This window comes from Homo sapiens, chromosome 8 (genome assembly GCF_000001405.40).
Source record: "Homo sapiens chromosome 8, GRCh38.p14 Primary Assembly".
NCBI lineage: Eukaryota > Metazoa > Chordata > Mammalia > Primates > Hominidae > Homo > Homo sapiens.
The window spans coordinates 67,125,703-67,149,690 of record NC_000008.11 but is presented as its reverse complement, the minus strand read 5'-3'; the positions used below and the strand labels follow the sequence as shown (position 1 = coordinate 67,149,690).

Here is a 23,988-nt window from a genome sequence, read left to right as displayed (position 1 = left end):
AAAACAATAGGACAAAGTTGGGAATAATTCAATGATATGTTGGTGCCCTGAAAAGAGAAACAAAATTATCAAAACTTTTAAGATTTTCAAAAAATAATCCTTAAAAATAATCTCAATTAGTAGATAAATTAAGGACACATAAATCTTTAACAAAACATAAAAACCATATTAACAGTATCTATGTTACTTCAGAACTTAGAATTTCTTTAATATAGAAAAAATATAGCAACAATTTAAAACAACTCATAGTGTAATTTACCTGTCATCGGTCTCCTAATAACACATAATTATGTGGAGTGGAGTTTTAAAATATATTCACAAATTACTTGGCAATCCTCCCTCAAAGGGTAAAGCTAAATTCCATTCCCCTTCAGTGGTGTCCAGAGTTAATAACTCACTTCTTATGACTAGCATATTGCAGAAATAATGGTATATGACTTCTGAGGCTACCTCATAAAAGAAATTATTTCCACCTTGCTTATCTATGGATCATTCACTCTGAAGAAAGCCAACTGCCATACCATAAGGACACTAAGGGAGCCCTATGGAGAGGCCCATATGACAAGGAACTAAGGCCTCCTGAGCCATGTGAGGGAGCCATATTGAAAATGAATCTTACAGTCCCCATCAAGCCTCAGATGACTACTGCCATGGTCAACATCTTGGACTCCAACATTATGAGGGAGCCTGAGACAGAACCACCCAACTAAACCACTCACAAATTTCTAACCCTCAGAACCGCAAGATAATAACTGTTTATCATGCTAAAACACCAAGTTTTGGGTTAATTCATTACATAGAATAGATATCTAATACACACAGCAAAAATCTGAGCACCTAGAATTGGGTCAAACAACCAATCTCAAAAACAGAACTGAATGATTACAGAACTTAAAGCTTTAATAAAATAAAAAGTACCTGTTTTCCATAAAACAAACAAACCAAAAAACTGCAACAGTATGGCAGCACTGAAAGTGAACTTAAACCTGGATATAAGAAGTATTTATCAGGAAGCCTGTTATGTTCAAGAATGTATTTTGAACATGAATCACAATTAGAATTCCAGATAGAACATGGCAAGTAATACATAAATGCTACAAAAGAGAATGGGAGTTCAGAATCAGGAAGGTTCACATTCTGTTACAATATTTAGGGCAGCTTGGACTTGGAAAATGTATAGGAGCTTCACAGATGAAGATAAGTAGGAAAGCATAATAGAGAAATAGAACAATGTGAGAAAGCACTCCAAGTGGGTAAAGCATGATGAGTGTTCTGGCAACATTAAAGTAGTCCAGCTAGACTAGAGCATAAAGCACATGTAATAGAGCAATGGCAAATAAGACTGGAAACCATAGAATGGATACCTATTCTTCAATATCCTAAAACACATGTCAATGGCTCTCAATTTTGTTCTGTAGAAGGTAATGGAGGCAGTTGTGGTTGTTACAGAAGTGGGATTAATATATTAGTCTGGCCGGGCGTGGTGGCTCACACCTATAATCCCAGCACTTTGGGAGGCCAAAGAGGGTGGATTACTTGAGCTCAGGAGTTTAAGACCATCCTGGGCAACATGGTGAAATCCCATTTCTACTGAAAATACAAAAATTAGCTGGGCATGATGGCATGTACCTGTAGTCCCAGCTACTTGGGGGGCTGAGGTGGGAGGATCACTTAAGCCGGGGGGGTGCAGGTTGCAGTGAGTCAAAATTACACCACTGCACTTCAGGCTGGGTGACAGAGTGAGACTGTCTCAAAAAAAATAAAAATAAAAATGGTTGAGGGCAAAGAAAAAGATTTAAAGATCAATCTGTAGGGAAGACCTAAAGAGTAACACAGGAGTAAAAGAGATGACATGGAAGAGAATGGATGAAGGGATGAGAAACACACAAGGTCAGATGACAGTCCTTAGAAGAAAGATCATGCTCACAAACCTAGCAGAGTCTAACTCTAGTTCATAATGCACATCCAAAAAATATTAGCTGAAGTCTGGACAGCATCTCGGAGGATACAAAGGACTTAGAGAAAAAAAGGAACTGTCAAGCCAGTTCAAAGAAGATAAAAGATGAGTAAAAATCATTAAATTGAAATTAGGTCATCAGGCTTTTTGTTGACAATGTGGCATGGGGTGGTGGGGCGCGGGGGTACAAGCTAGATGTTATACTATGGAAAAATAGCCAATAAGAGGGTGGTAAGAAGTGACAGCAACAAGCATGGACTACTTTTTGAATGTGTTTTATATGGTAAAGGAAGCATTTGTCTGTGTTTTAATACAAGTGACCTAAGCATGTTCAGAGGTAGAAAGAAGAAATAAATAGAAAAAATGCAAAGAGAAGGGACTGGGTGAAACCACAGAAAAAGGTGACTGCAAGAAAATTCCCAAGTGCCAAGGACTGGCAAGGCAGATAGATATTCTTGAAATAATCTACAGCTGTGTTGCCAAACTAGTGAGTGCTTAGGGAATGCAATCTTAGTTTGATAGTCACCTGCACAAACCATACATTAGGAGATACCCTATATGTAAGCAAACTTCGATAACACATTATAATTTATTGTTGATTATATATGGACTTCTCAACTGGAATAATATTCAACATATTTATATTAAGAGAAAATTAATTTCATCAGAGTACATAATTATTAAGATTTAAGACTATCAGATTTAGCAAGCAAACCAAATCCATATTGCTTTTTATTGGGAAAAATGATTTGGCAACTGGCCACTCCTTTTCTGTCTTTCTGTGAGATGGTAAAATAAATGATTTGAAATCAGCTAAAAAACGAAAATTAAAAAAGGCACTTTGGTCAAGAGTGTAATTTGTCAACTGCAAAGATAGGACTTTATTTTAAATGTAAATCATCATAACATTCAATATAAAATTAGGAGCACTTACGTGCTCCTCACTGAGTGAATTAGCTCATTATAAAAAAATTAATTTTAATTAACTTCACAAGTTAGCTGCTACTCTTTATACTTTGGTGGAAAATACATATCAAAATATATTTTGTGAAGGGCTGAGATATGTTAAATGTTACTATAAACCCAGGATTATTCAGCAATTCATGGCTGACACAGAAACTCTTTTATAATGACCTAATTCAGAGAGCTAAGCAAAATTCCCAACCCTAGCACTACTAACAATACATATATCAAAATTAACCTAATTTAAAATATATACACTTACTTATAGAGTAAAATTCTAACTGATGGCTCATAAAACAAATCTCACAAACTTAAAAACACTGAAGTCATTAAAAGTATATTCTCTCCAGCTGGGCGCAGTGGCTCATGCCTGTAATCTCAACACTTCGGGAGGCTGAGGTGGGAGGATCATTTGAGGCCAGGAGTTTGAGACCAGCTGGGCAAAAAAGTGAGACCCTGTCTCTAAAAAAAATTTTGTAATTAGCTGGGCATGGTAGCATGTGTCTGTAGTCCTTGCTACTTGGGGGAGCTGAGGCGGGAAGATCACTTTAGCCAGGGAGGTTGAGACTGCAGTGAGGCATGACCGTGCCATTGCATTACAGCCTGGGTGACAGAGTGAGACCTTGTCTCAAAAAAAAAAAAAAAAAAGAAAAGTATATTCTCTTACAAAACAGAATACAAACTAGAATTGAATAAAAGAAAGCTCTCAGGAAAATCCCCTGATACTTGGAAAATTTTTAAGTCCACTTCCAAATAACTAATGGGGGTCAAAGAAAAGTCACAATGAAAATCAGAAAACTGAATGAAAATTAAAACAACACATAAAAATTTGTGATGTACAGCTAAAACAGTACTCAGAGGGAAATGTGTAGCACACTTAAATGCACAGAAAATAAGTAAGGTCTCAAATCATAGTCTAAGCATCGACATTAAAAAATTAGAAAAGGGGGCTGGGCACGGTGGCTCATGCCTGTAATCCCAGCACTTTCGGAGGCTGAGGTGGGCAGATCACCTCAGGAGTTCGAGACCAGCCTGGCCAGTATGGTGAAACCCCGTCTCTACTAAAAATACAAAAATTAGCCAGGTGTGGTGGTGTGTGCCTGTAGTCAGTCCCAGATACTTGGAAGGCTGAGGCAGGAGAATCACTTGAACCCGGGAGGCGGAGGTTGCAGTGAGCCGAGATTGTGCCACTGCACTCCAACCTGGGCGACACAGAGAGACTCTGTCTCAAAACAAAAACAAAAAAAAAAGAAAGAAATTAGAAAAGGGAGAAAAGTAAGCACAAAGCAAACTAAAGGAAGCAAATAGTAAAGATAAGAGCAAAATCACTGAAACAAGAAGAAAAGCAGAGAAAAAAAATCAATGAAAACTAAAGCTGATTCTATGAAAAGATCCATAAAGTTGATAAACATCCAGCCAGACAGATTAAGAAAATATACAAATTACAAATATCAGGAATGAATGAGAAGCCATCACCACAGATCCTACAAACATTAGAATAAAAAAGAAATATTATGAACAACATTATGCCAATAAATAAATAAATAAAATGAATAATTTCCTTGAATGATTCAAATAACCAAAGCTCACATAAGAAATAAACTGAATGTCTCTTTATCTATTAAATAAAGTGAAGTCATAGTTTAAAACTTTCCCAAAAAGAAGATTCCCCACCCAGATGGCTTCACTGGTGAATGCTTTTTTTTTTTTTTTTTGAGATGGAGTCCCGCTCTGGCAGTGACGCAATCTTGGCTCACTGCAACCTCCACCTCCTGGGTTCAAATGATTCTCCTGTCTCAGCTTCCTGAGTAGCTGGGACCACAGGAGCACACCACCACACACAGCTAATTTTTTTTTTTTTTTTTTAGTAGAGATAGGGTTTCACCATGTTGGCTAAAATGGTCTCGATCTCTTGACCTTGTGATCCACCTGCCTCAGCCTCCCAATGTGCTGGGATTACAGGCGTGAGCCGCCACACCCAGCCTTCACTGGTGAATTCTAAACACAGAAAAAACATTTCCCAGCTAGGCGATGTGGCTCACACCTATGTATTCCCAGCACTTTGGGAGGCCAAGGTGGGAGGATCACTTGAGCTCAGGAGTTCGAGACCAGCCTAGGCAACATAAACATAGTGAGACCCTGTTTCTACAAAAAATAAAAAAAATTAGCCAGGTATGGTGGTACATGACTGTAGTCCCAGCTACTCAGAAAGTTGAGGTGGCAGAATTGCTTCGGCCTAGGAGGTCGAGGCTACAGTGAGCCGTGATTATGTCACTGTACTCCAGCTTCTGCGACAGAGCAAGACTCTGTCTCAAAAAACAAAAGAAAAAACATTTCCCAATTCATGTTATCAGGCCAGAATTACCCTGACACCAAAACCAGACAACATTATAAAGAAATAAAAAACCAGAATATCTTATGAGCCTAGATGCAAAAATCTCTAACAAAATACTAGCAAATCAAATTCTACAACACGTATAAAAGACAATAATACAGCTTGGTTTTTCCCAGGAATGCAAGATTGGCTGAATATTCAAAAATCAATCAATGTAATTTACCATAGGTCAGAAGGGTAAAGAAACCACATTATCATCTCAATAGATGCAGAAAAGCACCTGACAAAATTCAACATACACTCACAATGAAACCTCTAAGCAAACAAGGAATAGAACATCCTCAATGGGATAAAAGAAAAATCAACTAAAAGCCTACAGCTAACTTAATGGTGAAAGATTGCTTTCCATCTGAAATCAGAGACAAGACAAGGATGTCTGCGCTCATGAATTCTTAACACTGTACTGGAGTTCTTAAACAGTGTAAAAGGCAATTAAAATAAATAGAAGGCATCAGATTGGAAAGAAATAAGTAAAACTAACTCTACTGACAGATGCTATGATTGCCTACATTAAAAATCAAAGAATCTACAAAAAAACTACTAAAACTAACAAGTGAGTTTAGCAACCACACAGACTACAGACAGTAGCAAGCACACAGACTACAGACAATATAAAAAATTTACCTGTATTTCTATAGACCATCAATGAACAAATGAATTAAAAATTTTTTAATGTAACATTTTAAAATAGCTTCAAACCACATGAAATATTTAGGGAAACAATTAACAAAATATACACAAGATCTGCCACCAAAAACTACAAAATATTGCTGAGAGAAATTAACTAGAAGCAATAAATGGATATACACTGCCCACTCATGGATCAAGAGGCTCAATATTATTAAGATGCTGGCTGTTTCAATATTATCTATAAAGTTAATGGAATCCCAATGAAAATGCCACCATGCTTGACATGACAAAGTAATAGTAATAGTAATAATTACTTACTATAACATTATTTACTTACTATAACTTATTACTAAATAATAATATTACTACATTACTATAGTGATAGTAAAATATGCGAAGAAGTTGAGTTGTCAAAAGATCTTGAAAAAAAAGAACAAAGCTGGAGGACTCAAACTTTTCAATTTCAAAACTTACTACAAAGCTATAGTAATCAAGAGACTCTGATACGGGCAAAAGGATAGAAATATAGAGCAATGGAACAGAGAGAGACAGAAAGACTGAGAAAGAGGAATTTCACAGATTGGAGGAGACTAAAGAGACATGAACTAAATGCATTATAGGATCCTGGACCAGAGCCTAAAATACAATAAGGACATTAGGAAAAGAAAAAAAAAACTGGTAAAATTCGAACAAGGTATGTAACTTAATTATCGGCACTGTATCTAGGTTAATTTCTAATTTTGATCATTGTGCCATGATTATCTAAGACGTTAACGTCAGGGGAAACAAGGTGAAGGATACTCTCTACACCATCTTTGCAACTCTTTTAGGTCTTAATTTCACAATAGAAAAAGCTTTTTTTAAATGAGGTATCACTGCACTTTCAATAAAATAACTAAAAGTTTAAAGATGCATAATTTCAAGTGCTGATGAAAATTCAGAGCAACTAGAAACCTCATACTTTTCTGATAGGAATGCAAAATGACAAAACAAAATTGGAGAATGTTCTGGCAGTTTCTTACAAAGTTAAACACTTACTATTCAACCCAGCAATTCTATTCCTAGGCACTTACCCAAAAGAAATAAAAATTTATGTTCACACAAAGATCTGTAAGTGAATGTTTCTAACAGCTTTATTTATAATAGCCTTGAACTGTAAACAGCCCAAATATCTATCAACTGGTAAATGGATAAACAACTGTGATACCTTCAGAAAATGTAATACTATTCAGTAATAAAAAAAATAAGCTACTGACATATGTAACAACATGGATGAATCTCAGAAACACTATGCTAAAACACAAATGTCAGAAAAAAGGCAATATTTTCATGCCAGAAACGAGATCACAGATTGGCATGGGTGGACGAGTAAGTAAGAGAACTGACTAACTAATCATCCTGTTAATCAATTGGAACTATGAGATACCATTTTTCAAAGTGGTTTTTAATTTTATCTTTTAATTTATTTTTATTGACATTTTTCTTTTGGTGTATACGTTTTAACATTTGACATGGACAGTTTCATGTAAAGTTTCAAATAAAAACCTGAATAAAGAACTTTAATAAATAAAGAACTGAGAAAGACAACAGAATAAAATACTGTACAAATAATTAAAATGAGAAATATTTACTTTAAAAGGGGTGATACTTTAAAGTTGCATGAATAACACATTTTTATATTTCATTAGTAACTACTATGCCTTATAATGAGATCTTCTTAGGTAAGATAAGGGTGCAGTGTTAAGATTCAATTTTATTAATTTCTTTGGAATAAAAGATCAAAAAAAGAACAGGAGTAATTAGAAAAGTCAGCAGCAGAATTAAAGTTAGCCAAGATAATGAACAGACGTTATGTGGTCTTAGTCATCACACTGCTCTATACTACATATTTCAAATGTAATGTTCCCGCCTTCTCTAAAATGTAGTAGCTACACTGGGTGCAGTCGCTCATGTCTGTAATCCTAGCACTTTGGGAGGCCGAGGTGGATGGATCACCTCAGGTCAGGAGTTCAAGACCACCAACATGGTGAAACCCCATCTTTACTAAATACACAAAATTAGGGGGGCGTGGTGGCACATGCCTGTAATCCCAGCTACTCAGAAGGCTGAGGCAGGAGAACTGCTTGAACCCGGGAGGCAGAGGTTGCAGTGAACTGAGATTGCATCATTGCACTCCGGCCTGGGCAAAAGAGCGAAACTCCATCTCAAAAAATAAAAATAAAGATAAAATGTAGCATCCACATACAAAATAAACTGATACTCTTTAAGTCATGAGTTTACTTGCTTGAAAATATCATTAAAAGAGTTATACTGTATTTGATAAAATAGTATGCCTTTTCTATTTCATGGCATGAAGACGGCATTAAATAAGCCAACTAAACATTACTATTAAAAATTGAAATCTAAGAAGCATTTTCTCCATGCTCATTAGGTCACGCAATTCTAAAATAATGTGGAAACATTTTCTCCATGCTCATTAGGTCAAGCAATTCTAAAATAATGTTTTATAACTCAATAACCCAAATTTATCCTACTCACTTCCACCAATTAAAGGCATACAGAACACAATAATTGTATTGTTTGAACTAGAAATAATCTTAGAGGTAAGATTTTAGAAAACTGCTCTATCCCAATGTTTTCCAATGTTTCACTCAGTTAAGCACATTTTTCATGGTAACTAGTTAACTTCTATCAATTTATAATTTAAATTTACTGTAGCAAAGATTGCCCATATGGCTATTAATCCCATGTCCTTCTTCTGAGCATAAAGAAAGTTAAACTTCCCAGCCTCCCAAGCAGTTAGGTTAGAACCTATAACTAGGTCTGAACAATGGAATGAAGGCAAAAATGATCTTCCTCCACATCCAGGCCAGGCCCCAACAAAATCCTCAATTTGTCCCTGGACAAGAAGAAAAGGACTCTAAAATGAAGGAATGAAACAATGGATCCCTGAGTCACTTCTTGGAGGAGAACCACCCAAACAGCAGCATCAGAGTGGGACAAAAGTGGATGCCTAACAAGAGAGGCCTTAAGCTTCTAAGAATTTGGGTTTGTTTATTATTACAGCACTTTCCATTAAATGCCTGGACTAATGCCTTCACTTTAATACCTGTAGTTTAAAAGAAAATATTATAGCACTATTCATAAATGGAAAACTAGTGTTTTTCTAATATATTTTCAAGTAAACACTTACCTATTAAAATAAGAAATGTTAGCTAGGCATCATCTAAAATCATTTCATTGATAAAGAAAGTAATAAGAGTTTCACTCTTTCAAAACTGTGAGAAAATTATTCATGAGGTGAAGATAGGAAAGGAACAAATCTTTTGGGAAGAAAAAAAGAGCTATTAAAATTAAAGTAGGCTGGGCACAGTGGCTCACACCTGTAATCCCAGCACTTTGGGAGGCTGAGGTGGGTGGGACACCTGAGGTCAGGAGTTTGAGACCAGCCTGACCAACATGGTGAAACCCCGTCTCTAATAAAAATACAAAAATTAGCCGGGTGTGGTGGTGCATGCCTATAAATCCCAGTTACTTGGGAGGCTGAGGCAGGAGAATTGCTTGAACCTGGAGGCAGAGGTTGCAGTGAGCCAAGATGGTGCCATTGCACTCCAGCCTGGGTGACAGAGTGAAACTCTGTCTCGAAAAAATTAATTAATTAAATTAAAATAAATTAAAGTGGGCCTCAAATATATCTTCAAAAAAACCAATATTTAACAAGCAAAGGCATAATACATAAGAATTCTTTTATTACTATACTTTAAATTTTAGGGTACGTGTGCACAACGTGCAGGTTTGTTGCATATGTATACATGTGCCATGTTGGTGTGCTGCACCCATTAACTCATCATTTAACATTAGGTATTTCTCCTAGTGCTATCCCTCCCCGCTCCCCTCACCCCACAACAGGCCCCGGTGTGTGATGTTCCCCTTCCTGTGTCCATGTGTTCTCATTGTTCAATTCCCACCTATGAGTGAGAACATGCGGTGTTTGGTTTTTTGTCCTTGCAATAGTTTGCTGAGAATGATGGTTTCCAGCTTCATCCATGTCCCTGCAAAGGACATGAACTCAGCCTTTTTTATGGCTGCATAGTATTCCATGGTGTATATGTGCCACATTTTCTTAATCCAGTCTATCATTGTTGGACATTTGGCTTGGTTCCAAGTCTTTGCTATTGTGAACAGTGCTGCAATAAACATACATGTGCATGTGTCTTTATAGCAGCATGTTTTATAATCCTTTGGGTATATACCCAGTAATGGGATGGCTGGGTCAAATGGTATTTCTAGTTCTAGATCCCTGAGGAATCGCCACACTGACTTCCACAATGGTTGAACTAGTTTACAGTCCCACCAACAGTGTAAAAGTGTTCCTATTTCTCCACATCCTCTCCAGCACCTGTTGTTTCCTGACTTTTTAATGATCGCCATTCTAACTGGTGTGAGATGGTATCTCATTGTGGTTTTGATTTGCATTTCTCTGATGGCCAGTGATGATGAGCATTTTTTCATGTGTCTGTTGGTTGCATAAATGTCTTCGTTTGAGAAGTGTCTGTTCATATCCTTTGCCTACTTTTTGATGGGGTTGTTTTTTTCTTCTAAATTTGTTTGAGTTCATTGTAGATTCTGGTAATGCCGCACATCTACAACTATCTGATCTTTGACAAACCTGACAAAAATAAGAAATGGGGAAAGGATTCCCTATTTAATAAATGGTGCTGGGAAAACTGGCTAGCCATATGCAGAAAGCTGAAACTGGATACCTTCCTTACACCTTAAACAAAAATTAATTCAAGATGGATTAAAGACTTAAATGTTAGATCTAAAACCATAAAAACCCTAGAAGAAAACCTAGGCAATACCATTCAGGACATAGGCATGGGCAAGGACTTCATGTCTAAAACACCAAAAGCAATGGCAACAAAAGCCAAAATTGACAAATGGGATCTAATTAAACTAAAGAGCTTCTGCATGGCAAAAGAAACTACCATCAGAGTGAACAGGCAACCTACAGAATGGGAGAAAATTTTTGCAACACACGAGAATTCTAACTCAACATCCAATCTTCCGATTCTATCACTCATCTATTCCTACAATACATAACACCTAAAGAACATGAAGTGTGTATCTTTGATCTACTTTTATTCTGCTTAACTAAACGCTAAACAAAGACCATCCTAATATATACAACAGCCCTTTGTAACTGCGGGTTCCACATCTGTGGATTCAATCAACCACAATTCAAAAACATTAAAAAACAAAAAAAAATGGATGCTTGCATCTGCACTGAACATGTGAAAAGTCTTTTTTTCTTGTCATTGTTCCCTAATTAATACAAGATTACAACTATTTACATAGCATTTTCACTGTATTAGGTATTACAAGTAATCTAGAGATGACTTAAAGTATACAGGAAGATGTGTGTAGGTTATATGCGAACACTTTACCAATTTTATATCAGGAACTTGAGCATCCATGGATTTGGGTATTCACAGGAGATCATGGAACCAATGTCCCATGGTTACCAACAGACAACTGTATATAACAAGTTGTATAAAGCCACTCTTTCGAAGTATTTGTTGTGTGATTACTAGATCAAACATTTTTGAGAGTACATAATTGAAAGATAAATCAACAAATTATGAAACTTGCTAGAAAGTTTCTATGATCATGTCTTCTTTTTCCCAAAGGAATTCTTGCAATTAGCAGGTATATTGCATAGATAAATTAAACACAAAATCCCCTCCCAAAACTGTTTTACATCCTTTATTTCTAAGACATCTTACTAGTTTATTTTTTTTAAATTGTAATATGGGTTTTATCATTTTTATGAGGGAACAAAATATTCTAAGTACCAGTTTCAGTAAAAACTTATCAACTAACATGAGCTTTTCTCTGCAACTGGGTTATCAACATCGGAGGATGAAATATTTATAATAAAAACAAATGGATAGTATTCTGAAGAAGAAATGCTTTCTAGCCTCTGTTATTATATTTACTCTTAAAATACCTCATATGCATTAAGTTACATACATGCGTTGCTATAGAGGCTATGATTCCTACTTTTTTCTACTCCCCAATCTTTTAAAAAGTTAAAAATAATTTAGCTTATTTTAAAAACAAGTCAGTAGAAATAACGTACTTATCAGATTTCCTTTTGCATCCCTGAGAGGAGCACCACCTCCACCTTTTCCCCAGGGATTATATGTTCTCATTTCAGCTTCTAATTTAGCTTCATATTCTTCTTTTTCTTCACGTTCTTTCTTCCTTCTTTCTTCTCTTTCCCGAATCTTGACAACATAAGATATATTTAAAATAAACGCTGACAAGTATTCTGATACAAGAAGTTAGTAATACCAGATGTTATTTTTTGTATTAGAAAACAAGCAAAAAAATTTGCTTTTTTTTTTTTCCCCAGTGTACCCCCCTACAAAGGTTAAAATCACAAATATATGTAATACTCAATGTAAAAATACTTTAGGTCAGGTGTCGTGGCTCATGCCTATGGAGGCCAAGGTGGGCAGATCACTTAAGGTCAAGAGTTCAAGACCAGCCTGGCCAACATGCAAAACCCCATCTCTACTAAAAATACAAAAATTAGCTGGGTGTGGTTGCGCACATGTGTAATCCCAGCTACTTGGGTGTCTGAGGCACAAGAATCACTTGAACCCAGGAGGTGGAGTTTGTAGTCAGCCAAGATCATGCCACTGTACTTCAGCTTGGGCAACATTATGCAAGACACTGTCTTTAAATAATAACATTAAAAATAAAAATAATTCAATGGCTAGAATACATAGCCCCTGTTCCTCTATATACACCAAATGACTTTCTAGCCACTAAGGTACTTCAGACTCAACCAACTCCTCCTTCCCTCCCCTAGTGTCTACCTGAGCCATTCCCTCTCTAACCCTGCCAGTTCCATGGGACCATCAGATCTCCCTACGTTCCTTTTTCATCTATCCTTTCAAGGGGAATGCCCAGCCACAAAGTCTACCCTCAACCTTACCAGACCTACTTTCCCTAGGCAAACTCTATTCCCAGAATTCAGAGGTCGGAGGATCAACTCTCTCTGGGGAATGCTTGGCAACTTTAAATACAGGCATACCTCATTTTATTGTGCTGAATTTTATTGTGCTTTGCGGACATTGCATTTTTTTTTTTTTTTTTTTTTTTTTTTGAGACGGAGTCTCGCTCTGTCACCCAAGCTGGAGTGCAGTGGCGTGATCTCAGCTCACTGCAAGCTCCGCCTCCCGGGTTCACGCCATTCTCCTGCCCCAGCCTCCAGAGTAGCTGGGACTACAGGAGCCTGCCACCACGCCCAGTTATTTTTTGTATTTTTAGTAGAGACGGGGTTTCACCGCATTAGCCAGGATGGTCTCAATCTCCTGACCTCTGATCCACCCACCTTGGCCTCCCAAAGTGCTGGGATTACAGGCGTGAGCCACCACGCCTGGCCACAGATATTGCATTTTTTACAAATCGAAGGTTTGTGGCAACTCTGCATTGAGGAAGTCTATCAGTACCATTTTTCCAATGGCATGGGCTAATTTCATGTCTCTGTGTCACATTTTGGTAATTCTCACAATATTTCAAACTTTTTAAATTATTATTATATCTGTTATGGTGATCTGTGATTGCTGATCTTTAGTGTTACTATTATAATTGTTTTGGGGCGCCATGAATCACACACACATAAGATGGCAAATTTAATGGATAAATGTCATATGTATTCTGACTATTCTACCAATCAGCCGTTCCCCTGTCTCTTTCCCTCTCTTTGGGTCTCTCTTTTCCCTGATAGAATACTGAAATTAGGCCAAATAATAACCCTACAATGGCATGTAAGTGTTTGAGTGAATGAAAGAGTCACATCTCTCACTTTAAATCAAAAGCTAGAAATGACTATGCTTAGTGGGAAAGGCTTGTCAAATGCATAGACAGGCTGAAAGCTAGGCCTCTTATGTTAAATAAACACTTTGCCCAGTTGTAAATGCACAGGAAAAATTCTTGAAGAAAATTAAAAGTGCCACTCCAGTAAACATATGAATGATAAGAAAGTGAAACAGCCTTATTGCTGTTATAGAGAAAGTTTTAGTGGTCTAAATAGAAGATCAAACCAGCCCAGCATTCCCTTAAGCCAAAGCCTAAACCAGAGCAAGGCCCTAACTTTCTTCAATTCTATGAAGGCTGAGAGAAGTGAGGAAGCTGCAGAAGAAAACTTGCAAGTTAGCAGAGGTTGGTTCATGAAGTTGAGGGAAAGCTGCCATCTCTATAACATAAAAGTACAACATGGGCTGGGCTCACACCTGTAATCCCAAAACTTTGGGAGGCCAAGGTGGGCGGATCACTTGAGATCAGGAGTTCAAGACCACCCTGACCAACATGGTGAAACCCCACCTCTACTAAAAATACAAAAAAAAATAAAAAATAAAAATTAGCTGGGCGTGGTAGTGGGCACCTGTAGTCTCAGCTACTCGGGAGGCTGAGGTGGAGGTTGCAGTGAGCCGAGATCGTGCCACTGTACTCCAGCCTAGGCTGGGCAACAGAGTGCGACTTTGTCTCAAAATAAAAATAAAAATAAAAAAGTACAACATGAGGCAGCAAATGCTGATGAAGAAGCTGCAACAAGTCACCCAGAAAGTCTAGATCAGATAACTGATGAAGGTGGTTCCACTAAACAACAGATATTCAATGGAGACAAAACAGCCTTGTATTAAAAGAAGACTTTCATAGCTAGTAAAGAGAAGTCAATGTCTGGTTTCAAGCTTCAAAGGACAGGCTGACTCTCTCATTAGAAGCTAATGCAGCTGGTGACTTTAAGTTGAAGCCAATGCTAATATACCATTCTGAAAACCTTAGGGCCCTTAAGAATGATGCTAAATCAGCCGGGCACGGTGGCTCACAACTGTAATCCCAGCACTCTGGGAGGCCGAGGCAGGTGGATCACGAGGTCAGGAGATCGAGACCATCCTGGCTAACATGGTGAAACCCCGTCTCTACTGAAAATACAAAATAAAAATTAGCCGGGCATGGTGGCAGGCGCCTATAGTCCCAGCTATTCGGGAAGCTGAGGCAGGAGAATGGCATGAACCCAGGAGGCGGAGCTTGCAGTGAGCTAAGATCGCACCACTGCACTCCAGCATGGGTGACAGTGTGAGACTCCGTCTTTAAAAAAAAAAAAAAAAAAAAAAAAAGATGATGCTAAATCTACTCTACCTGTGCTCTAGAAAGGAAACAACAAAGCCTGTATTGCTGCACAACTGTTTCAAGAATGGTTTACTGAGTATTTTAAGTCCACTGTTGAGACCTACTACTAAAAAAAAGAGATTCCTTTCAAAATATTACTGCTCATTGACAACGCACCTGGTCAACCAAGAGCTAGATATACAAGAAGGTTAATGTTGTTGTCATGCTTGCTAATACAATATCCATTCTTTAGCCCATTAACTCATGGAGTAATTTTGACACTGAATTCTTACTGTTCAGGAAATACGTTTCATAAAGCTATAGTTGCCACAGAGAGTAATTCCTCTGATGGATCTGGGAAATCTAAACTGAAAGCCCTCTGGAGAGAGTTTACCATTCCAGATGCCATCAAGAACATTTGTGAGTCATGGAAGGAAGTCAAAATATCAACAGTATCAGAAGTTTGAAAGAAGTTGACCCTAATGGATGATTCATGGATGACTTCGAGGGATTCAAGACTTCAGTGGTAGAAGAAACTGCAGATGTGGAAGAAATAGCAAGAGAACTGGAATTAGAAGTGAGGCATGGAAGACTTGAGAGAACTGCTGCAATCTCATGATAAAATTTTAATGGATGAGGAGTTGCTTCTTATGAATGAGCAAAGAAAGTGGTCTCTTGAGATGGAGTCTACTCTTGGTAAAGATGTTGTGAACACTGTTGAGATGACAACAAAGATTTAGAACATTATATAAACTAAGTTGATAAAGCATCAGCAGGGTTTTGAGAGGACTCCAAACTTTGAAAGAAGGTCTACTGTGGATAAAATGGTATCAAACAGCATCGTATCCTACAGAGAAATCTCTCATGAATGGAGGAGTCAATTGATGCAGCAAATTTCACTGTTGTCTCATTTTAAGAAATTGCCACAGCCACCCAATCTTCAGCAACTGCCACCCTGATCAGTCAGCAGCCATCAACATTGAGGCAAGACTTTCCACCAGCAAAAGGATTATGATTTGCTAAATTTTTTTAGCAATACAGTATTTTTAAATTAAGTTTACGTAGCTTGTTTAAGACATGTTGCACCTTAATAGACCACAGTATAGTGTAAAGATAACTCTGCATGCACTGGGAAACCAAAAAATTCATGTGAATCATTTCATTGTGATATTTGCTTTATTGCTGTGGTCTGGAACTAAACCTGCAATACTTCTGTAAAGCTGTATTAAGCACAAAAAACAAATGCATTCTTATCATCACTAAGTATAAGCGCAGGGTTGTTCTGTAGAGACATACAGATAGGCAATAAACAAGTGTCTACATTTTGGAAAGTCACTTTTAAACTCATAACCATATGCACAGTAAATTTAAGCAACCTTTTGCTCCAGCATAGCCAAAGAAGTCATCACACACATCAAATAGACCTCTAGAGTTGAAAAATCTAGTTTTGTCAGTGGTGTTTTTAATATGCTCATGCAAAAACAGATTCTGAATTTAAAATTCAGTCTTTTATTTGTAGAATCCTAACATACAAAAAAGGTTGGTAATTCTGTAATTTTAAAAATCTATCTTTCAAGAAAGTTGCCCATGTAAAAGTTGAACAAAAGTACTTTTAAAAGAAATCCAAGTGTAATTCTATAGAAAAGTAAGTAAGTTAGAGTCCCAGGGTCCTCTCAGATGGTAAGGGAATTCCCACAAAGAACCCCATACATTTGATAGTTACTCTTAAATTCTCTGCAAATATTACAAACTACGAAAGAACCCATTATCCTCCTCTGTAAACATGAACTACTACCTGTATTCCCCATTTTGGTTTATAGCCTCATTATTCTCCTAGGAATCATCTTCAAACCCTCTGTTCTCATTCCCTATATCTGAGTCCTGTCAATGAAACCTGAGAATTGTCTCTTAGATGTCTTCCCCAACGTCCCCATCTGGTTCAGGGCCTCATCACCTCCTTACTGGACTATCTACTAAATAATTTCTCTGCCAATCTCTTCCCAATTGTCCAAATCACAACCAATTATCTTCATAAAATATAAATCTGCTTAAAGCAAACAATCCTTTCATACTTTTCTTGGCCTAAAATTTCCTTCCTTCAGCTGCCCATAACCAGATGAAACTGAAAACCCCTTATTAGCTAGTCCTTCACAATCTGCTAGAACAACCTAACTAACTCTCCAGCCCCTTCTTCCACCCCAATTCCATTCTCTGTATACACCAGCAACTTGTAACGTAGTCATTGCACAACATGCAGCTTAAATATCAACTACTGTGTGAAGCTCTCCCAACTGCCCCAGGCAATTATTTTCCCTATCTTATGCTTCCAACAGCGTTTTACTGTATCCACTTCAAAACTCAGCATTTTGAATTATAATTAACTGTTTTTTTTCCCCTCCCCGGCCACACTCTGAGCTCTAAGGGACCACCATGCTTACACTTAAGAGGTTCAACAGTAAATGAGTAAATGAATCAATACCTGCTGCTGCAAAGCCTCTTGGTAAGACTGAAGTGACTGTTTGGAAGGTTTCGGTTTATCTTCAAAAATCAATCCTGAATTTATCACTTGATCACTTGTAATCTTCAGTTCATTCTGTCCAACCGTATTCCTACATCAAATACACAATAAATAATTTAAATCCATTGACGACAAAGCAAGAAGAAAATACAACAGTTTTTTGAAATAGCATGGCATATAAATACATTTAAAAATACAGAAGGATATTTCTCTATAGGCCAAAGAGGAATCCTTAAGTGACCCCTTCCTTAGCTCCTTCCTGCCTTTGCTTTGACAATCCTTGCAACTTTCAAATTCACTGTATCTATTTCTTAAGCTAGGTGATAGTTACACAGGAGTGAAAAAAGTTTGTGGTAATTCATTGAACAGTACACATATGACTTAGGCGGCTTCCTGAACAAACAGAAATAATAACACAGCCAAAGTCCCTCAAGTAACACAATAACTAATGATTTATTTTTAAATGATTTACTAATAAAATTACTTCTTAGCTATTTCAAGAATAAAACAATGTAATTACAGGAAAAAGTCTGACTGTCTCAAATAAAATTAATATTTTTGAAAAATTCACAAGGAAACATAAAAGAAAAAATGTTAAACATATTGTTGTTACATAAATCACAAGCAATAAAGTGCTGTTTTTTTGGTTTTTTTTGGGACAGGGTCCTACTTCGTCACCCAGGCTGGAGTGCAGTGGCGCCATCATAGCTGACTGCAGCCTTGATCTCCTGGAATCAAGCGATCCTTCCACCTCAGCCTTTCAAATAGCTGGGGGTATAGGTGCACATCACCATGCATGGCTCACTTTTTTTAGAGACGAAGTCTTTCTACGTTGCCCAGGCTGGTCTTGAACTTCTAAGCTCAAGTGATCTTCCTGCCTTAGCCTCCCAAAGTGCTGGGATTACAGGCGTGAGTCACTGCACCCAGCCAACATAACACATGTTTAAGTACAGGAATATACTGACTTTGAAGACAGTAAAACATTTTAGAAATCTAAATTATAAAAGATAAATTCAAATACTGATTTTATAATTTTTTGTTTTCTTTTGTTTTGAGACGGAGTTTCACTCTTGTCGCCCAGGCTGAAGTGCGATGGTGCCATCTCCGCTCACTGCAACATCCGCCTCCCGGGTTTAAGCGATTCTCCTGCCTCAGCCTCCCGAGTAACTGGTACTACAAGCACCCGCCACCACGCCCGGCTAATTTTCGTATTTTTAGTAGAGACAGGGTTTCACCATGTTGGCCAGGCTGGTCTCTAACTCCTGGCCTCAAGTGATCCACCCACCTCGGCCTCCCAAAGTGCTGGGATTATAAGCATGAGCCACTGCGCCCAGCCTGATTTTATAATTTTAAAAAAGCTTTCTCTTCTCCAAAAATATCACTGCTTTAAAAAATGAGTTCCATTGTGTATTTACCTTTTCTAACTTATTTACAATCTTTTATTAGGATAAACAAGTATGTTTGTGTATACTGTCACATTGGATTATGAGTGGCTAAAAGGGAAGATGAGGTAAACTAGATCAAATAGTTCCTAACTGACTGTATTTTTTCAGAGCAAGGGGGCTCTTTGTGTAAATGAATAAAGAAGGTTGAGAGGGTCTATGTGAATAAACTCATTCTCTCAAAATACACTGTTTATAAATCATATGGTGGACAGGTTCTCTCAATATCTATTTCACTCATGATCCCTCCCGTCTATATTGCCCACATACTCACAGACCCAAATTCTTAACCTTTACCTATCAACTCCTCCCTGACTCCCCCAAAAAGGGGGTTTAAGGATTTATGTAGTCAGATCAGGATGAAAGGGAGGAAATAATTGGGGTATTAAGTATAGTCATCCCGTGGTATATCTGAGGGATTGTTTCCAGGACTCTCTGCCTATACCAAAATCAGAGTATACTCAAGTCCCAAAGTGAGCCCCATGGAACTCCCACATAAGAAAAGTAGGCCCTCCACATACATGGGTTTCACATCCCACAAATATTGTACTTTCTATTGAAGTTGGCTGAAAAAAATCCACATGTAGGTGGACTCATACAGTTTAAACCTGTGTTATCGAGTGTCAACTGTATACAATTAAATGATCTTTAGTAAATTTATAGAGTTGTGCGATCATCACCATAACCAGTTTTAGAACATTTTTATAACCCAAAAATATCCTTCATAGCCATATGCAATCAATCCCTACTCAACCCTCAGCCCCAGGTAATTATTAAGTAAGTAGCCTGCTGTCTCTATAGATTTGTACTTCCTGGACATTTTATATAAATGGGACCAATATAGTATGTATAGATTCATTTAGCATAACATTTATAAGGTTCATCCATATTATATCATATCAGTAGTTCATTACTTTTTATTGCTGAGTAGTACTTCATCGCATGAATATAACACATTTTGTTTATCCATTCACTCACTGATGGACACTTGAATTGTTTCCACTTTTTGACTATTATCAATAATGCAGCTATAAACATTCACATCCAAGTCTTTGCATCTACATGTTATTTTTATTTCTTTTGATTACATGCTTAGGAATGGAATTGCAGTATCATATTCTTTTTAAGGAACTGCCATTTCCTGCAACTGCTTTTTGTATATTGATTTTGTAATCAGTAATTCTGTGAAAACTTTCATATTAATTCCAATATTTTAACCATATATTATTTTGCAAATAACATCAGTTTTCTCTCTTCCTTTCTAATCCTTGTACCTTCCTTCCTTTCTTTCTCTTATTTTTGGCCTTGCTGAAATTAAGCCCTGTGAAAGGAAGCAATGATAGAATCTCAAAAGGAATATTTTAAATCTATCATCATTAAATAAAATACATGATGTAAGTTTTTCATGTTTATAGGCTCCCTTCTAACCTATTTTATTACATTTTTAATCACTAATGCAATTATTTTAATGCTTTTCCTTTGTCTATTGGGATATCATATAGCTTTCTTCTTTATTCTGTTAACATGGTAGATTACAGTAGTTTATTTTATAATCATATTGATTATATCTAACACCAATAGGCTCCAGTATTCAGACACTATCCTAAACACTTTACATATTTTAACCATTCAATCATCAGAAAAACCCTGTGAGGTGATACCATTATTACCCCAATTAACGGACAAGGAATAGAAGTAAGAAATACACCTCAAGCTAATGAATGGTAAAAGCAGGATTCAAACCAAGGCAATCAGGCTACAAAGTCCATGCTCTTAACTGATATACTCTACTAAATTTAATCATCCTATATTCGAGAGTAATTCTAATTCCAGATCAATAATCCTTTCTCTATACTTTGAGGTTCAGTTTTAGGATCCTTGTGTCTGTGCTAATGAGTGTAACTAGCTTGTAATTTTCCATTTCATACTGGTCTTATTAGGTTTAAGTATCAAGATTATGAAAGTCTCATAATAGTAACCGGAGAGTATTCCTTCATTCCACACTCTGTATTAGCCTGTTTAAGACTGAACCCGGCCAAGAAGCTTTTTTTTTTTTTTTTGAGATGGAGTCTCACTCTAGTCGCCCAAGCTGGAGTTCAGTGGCGTGATCTTGGCTCACTGCAACCTCTGCCTTTCAGGTTCAAGTGATTCTCCTGTCTCAGCCTCCCGAGTAGCTAGAACTACAGGCATGTGCCACCACGCCCAGCTAATTTTTGTATTTTTAGTAGAGATGGGGTTTCACCATGTTGACCAGGCTGATCTTGAACTCCTGACCTCAGGTGATTCACCCGCCTCGGCCTCCCAAAGTGCTGGGATTACAAGAGTGAGCCACTGCACCCGGCCAACAAATTCTTAACTTATTCCATCACCAAAGCTGAAAAAGATCAGACAGTTAATAAAACAATTTCCCAATTCTATTTTGGTTGTTCTTTTTTGAATTTTTTCCTCTATTACTGTAGTAAGTGGTACCTTTTGTTACTATACTTTTAGTGGTTACCCTAGAAATATAATAACACACCCATCCTTATGAAAGACTAAAGCTAATCAAAATCTTTACCATCCTCTCAAATGATACAAAGATTAAAGCATGCTAAATTAATAAAGTCAATGGAAAGAAGACAGATTGTGCGTACATCAAAATAGTTAACAGAGTCACAGGTTCCTTCCACCTCTCATGCTAAAATGCTTGGAAACAAACAAATATTTGAAAGTCATTGGTTTGTAAGATAATTCAGCTGGTCACTCAGTTATCTAACTTTTATAACAAGTTTACACTTTTTAATGTGGCCTTCAGAAAAATTTAACAGAGAAGAACTTAAAAACAACTATACTGAGGATGGGAATTAGGATTAACTATAAATGGGCATGAAGGATCTTATTGGAGGGATGAAAATGTTCTAAAGCTGATTTATAGAAAGCACTTCTAGAATGGCAGAATAAGAACTTTAAGAAAACCTGCTACTCCGTTAAAGCAATGAGAACACGAGTCAAAATTGTCAAAACCAACTTTTTAATAATTCTGGTGCCATGTACTGAATTGTGTTCTTACATCAAAGCCCTGCGTACTATTCTGATGGTATTTGGAGCTGGGGACTATGAGAGGTAATTAGGTTTAGATGAGATCAGGAGGGTACAGTCCTCGTGATGAGATTAAATGTACTTAAGAAAAAATGGGGAGGCGTGAAATGGAGTGGGGGAAAGACCAGAGACCTTGCTCTCTCTACCATGTGAGGATACAATGACAAAGCCAGGAAAAGGGCCCTCACTAGGAACCAAATCTGCTGACACCTTTATCCTGGACTTCTATGTCTCCAAAACCAAGAAAAAATGTCTGTTGTTTAAGCCACCCAGTCTATAATATTTTGTTATAGCAGCTTGAGCTAAGTAATTTGGAAATTCATGGAAGGCTTGGAACAATCCCAGGAGAGTTTTTGTTTTTTTGTTAAGGTTGATTTTCAGTAAGAGAAGTAAACTTTGTGGCATTTGAACTTGCCCTTGACCTTTCAGTTTCTCCTTAGCTCTATCATAAACTTAAAATCCAAACGCTGCCCAAAGACAGTTGCTGTGAAAACCAGTAATCTAGTATCCACTGGACAGGTAGAATAGGTCTGGAATTCCCCAAAAATCCAATCTCTAGAAAAATCTCACTTTTGACCTGTCTGGCAGCTCCCAGGAAAAGCCCCATTCACAGAGCCTATATTTTACCAGACTCAGAACTCACTATCCTGGGGTTTTGTAGAAAACAATCAGCAGTAATTACTTAACATCATAGCTATCTAAAACAGTGATACCAGCCAGGGCAAGCAAAAGACTGACAATAAAATTAAAAGAAAAATCTGGGAAATAACATGCCCATGGGGTCTTGAAAAGCTCCAACATATTCCTGAGAATTTAGAAAGCCACATGTATGTGCAATTATATGGATGCCCGAGGAAGCTCTGAGAACACCTCTCATTTCTGGCTGGCATTGAGACCCTGTGCAAGTGGGATGTGAAAGCTAAAACAAAGATGTAAATTGCCAGGGTACTGAACGCATGCCCCAGCACACACACACAGAACCAGTTGGCATAGGCTGGGAGGTTTATTGGGTCAAAGCTTTTAAAGAAATCTCAGTCTAATCATGAACTATTAAGCTATCCTAACAGAGACTTCAGTGGCCACATATGACAAAGAATACAGACTTTACAAAGGGTACTTAGAAAACAGCAACAACAACAAACCACAAGGAGGAGGAGAATCTAATTTCCACAGTAGCCACATTATGTTTCCTAAATGTTCAGTTTTCAAAAAAGAAATTATGACACTTGCAAAGAAATAGAGAATTATAAGCCATACATACGGGGAAAAAAGAAGTCAACAGAAAATTTCAGAGGAATCCCATGCCTTGTATTTAATCAACAAAGATTTTTATTCAGTTATCAGAAATATGTTGAAAGAACTAAAAAATATGTATCTAAAGAAATAAAGTGGCTGGGCACAGTGGCTCACGCCTGTAATCCCAGCACTTTGAGAGGCCGAGGCGGGCAGATCACCTGAGGTCAGGAGTTGGAGACCAGCCTGAGCAACATAGCAAAACCCCGTCTCTAGCAAAAATACACAATTAACCAAGCGTGGTGGCGCATGCCTGTAATCCCAGCTACTCAGGAGGCTGAGGCAGGACAATCGCTTGAACCTGGGAGGCAGAGGTTGTAGTGAGCTGAGATCAGGCCACTGCACTCCAGCCTGGGCAACAAGAGTGAAACTCCATCTCAAAAAAAGAATTAAATTGTGAAAACAATGTTTACCAAATAAAATTAACAACAAAGAGATAGAAATTACTTTAAAAAGAACCAAATAAAAATGATAGAGCTGAAAAATATAACTGAAAAGAAAAGGGAGCCAAGAGCACATTCGAGCA

At 37.4% G+C, this 23,988-nt stretch overlaps 1 protein-coding gene across 36 annotated transcripts in view; it reads right to left on the bottom strand.

The window, feature by feature from the left end:
* CSPP1 (centrosome and spindle pole associated protein 1) overlaps positions 1-23,988 on the bottom strand; it is a 132,247-nt gene that overhangs the window by 46,924 nt on the left and 61,335 nt on the right. For 35 of the 36 annotated variants that reach the window (XM_011517598.3, XM_047422253.1, XM_047422245.1 and 32 more), the window contains 2 exons: positions 17,611-17,740; positions 12,088-12,235 (listed from right to left, as the gene is read on the bottom strand). In XM_011517598.3, coding sequence (XP_011515900.2) covers positions 12,088-12,235; positions 17,611-17,740 — 278 coding nt within the window. Of the gene's footprint in view, positions 1-12,087; positions 12,236-17,610; positions 17,741-17,834; positions 18,133-23,988 lie in introns of those variants that run through there. The other variant, XM_011517611.4, reaches the window with a different exon arrangement.